Here is a 1,740-nt window from a genome sequence, read left to right on the forward strand (position 1 = left end):
TTAACACCAACAGTGTATAAAGATTCCCTTTTCTCCACAACCTCACCAGCATCTGTTATTTTTTGACTTTTTAATCACAGCCATTCTGATTGGTGTGAGATGGTATCTCACGGTGGTTTTGACTTGCATTTTTCTAATGATCAGTGATACTGAGTCTTTTTTTCATATGCTTGTTGGCTGCATGTATGTCTTCTTTTGGAAAGTGTCTGTTCATGTCCTTTGCCTACTTTTTTTTCTTTTGCCTCAAAAAATGATATTTATTCAAAGAAAAAAAATGACAAGACGTCCATCCCTTGGCTCCTTTCCTTCCCCTCTCCTGCTGCTCCTCAGCCCTCCAAGATTGAACCCTGGCTGGGGCTAGGGAGCAGGACAGCCCCTCAGATGAGGTCAGGAACATTGAGGGGAATTTCCTCAATGGAAGTGTTGTAGAAGTTCTCGATGTTTTGAAAAGTCCCCTTGTCTTCTTCTGTCACCATGTTAATAGCCACACCCTTACGGCCAAACCATCCATCTCGACTGATTCTGTGGATATAGTTTTCCCTGTTGGTGGGAAGGTCATGGTTGACTAAAGAAACCTGCTGCACATCAATGCCTCTGGCCTATGTCAAGAAAGACAACTCTTCAGCATGTGCGTGAGATGTATCTCAAAGGGAAGAGACGTAGGTATCCGTGTAGGCAGACAAGGAAGGCAGAGGAAATAAGCATCCCTGTTCCCCAAAGACCTTACTTTGCCCACTTTTTAATGGGGTTGCTTTTCCCTTGTAAATTTGTTTAAGTTCCTTATAGATGTTGGATATCAGACCTTTGTCAGATACATAGTTTGCAAATAGGTTTTCCCATTCTGTGGGTTGCCTGTTTACTCTGTTGTTAGTTTGTTTTGTTGTGCAGAAGCTCTTAAGCTTAATTAGATCCTACTTGCCAATTTTTGCTTTTGTGGCGATTGCTTTTGGTGTCTTTGCCATGAAATATTTGCCCATTCCTATGTCCAGGATGGTATTGCCTGGATTGTCTTCCAGGGTTTGTATAGTTTTGGGTTTTACATTTAAGTGGTTATTCCATCTTGATTTGATTTTTGTGTATGGTGTGAGGAAGGGGTCCAGTTTCAATCTTCTGCATATGGCTACCCAGTTATCCAAGCACCATTTATTGAATAGGGAGTCTTTTCCCCATTGCTTGTTTTTGTCAGCTTTGTCAAAGATCAGATGGTCCTAAGTGTACAGCCTTATTTCTGGGCTCTCTATTCTGCTCCATTGGTCTATGTGCCTGATTTTGTACTGGTACCATGCTGTTTTGGTTAGTGTAGCCCTGTAGTATACTTTGAAGTTGGGTAATATGATGTCTCCAGCTTTGCTCTTTTTGCTTAGGATTTCCTTGGCTGTTCAGGCTCTTTTTTCCTTCCATATGAATTTTAAAGTAGTTTTTTTTCTAGTTCTGTGAATACTGTCATTGGTAGTTTGATAGGAATAGCATTGAATCTGTAAATTGCTTTGGGCAGTATGACCATTTTAATGATATTTATTTCCTATCCAGGAGCATAGGATGTTTTCCCATTTGTTTGTGTCTTCTCTGATTTCTTGGAGCAGTGTTTTGTAATTCTCATTGTAGAGATCTTTTACCTCCCAGGTTAGCTGTATTCCTAAGTATTTTATTCTTTCTGTGGCGATTGTGAATGGGATTGCCTTCCTGATTTGGCTCTTGGCTTGGCTATCGCTTGTATAGAGGAATGCTAGTGATTTTTGT

The 1,740-nt window shown here is 40.5% G+C and overlaps 1 pseudogene; it reads right to left on the minus strand.

Annotated features, from left to right (window-relative positions):
• EIF4A1P3 (eukaryotic translation initiation factor 4A1 pseudogene 3) lies at positions 234–599 on the minus strand (annotated as a pseudogene).

Source organism: Homo sapiens, chromosome 9 (assembly GCF_000001405.40).
Source record: "Homo sapiens chromosome 9, GRCh38.p14 Primary Assembly".
NCBI lineage: Eukaryota > Metazoa > Chordata > Mammalia > Primates > Hominidae > Homo > Homo sapiens.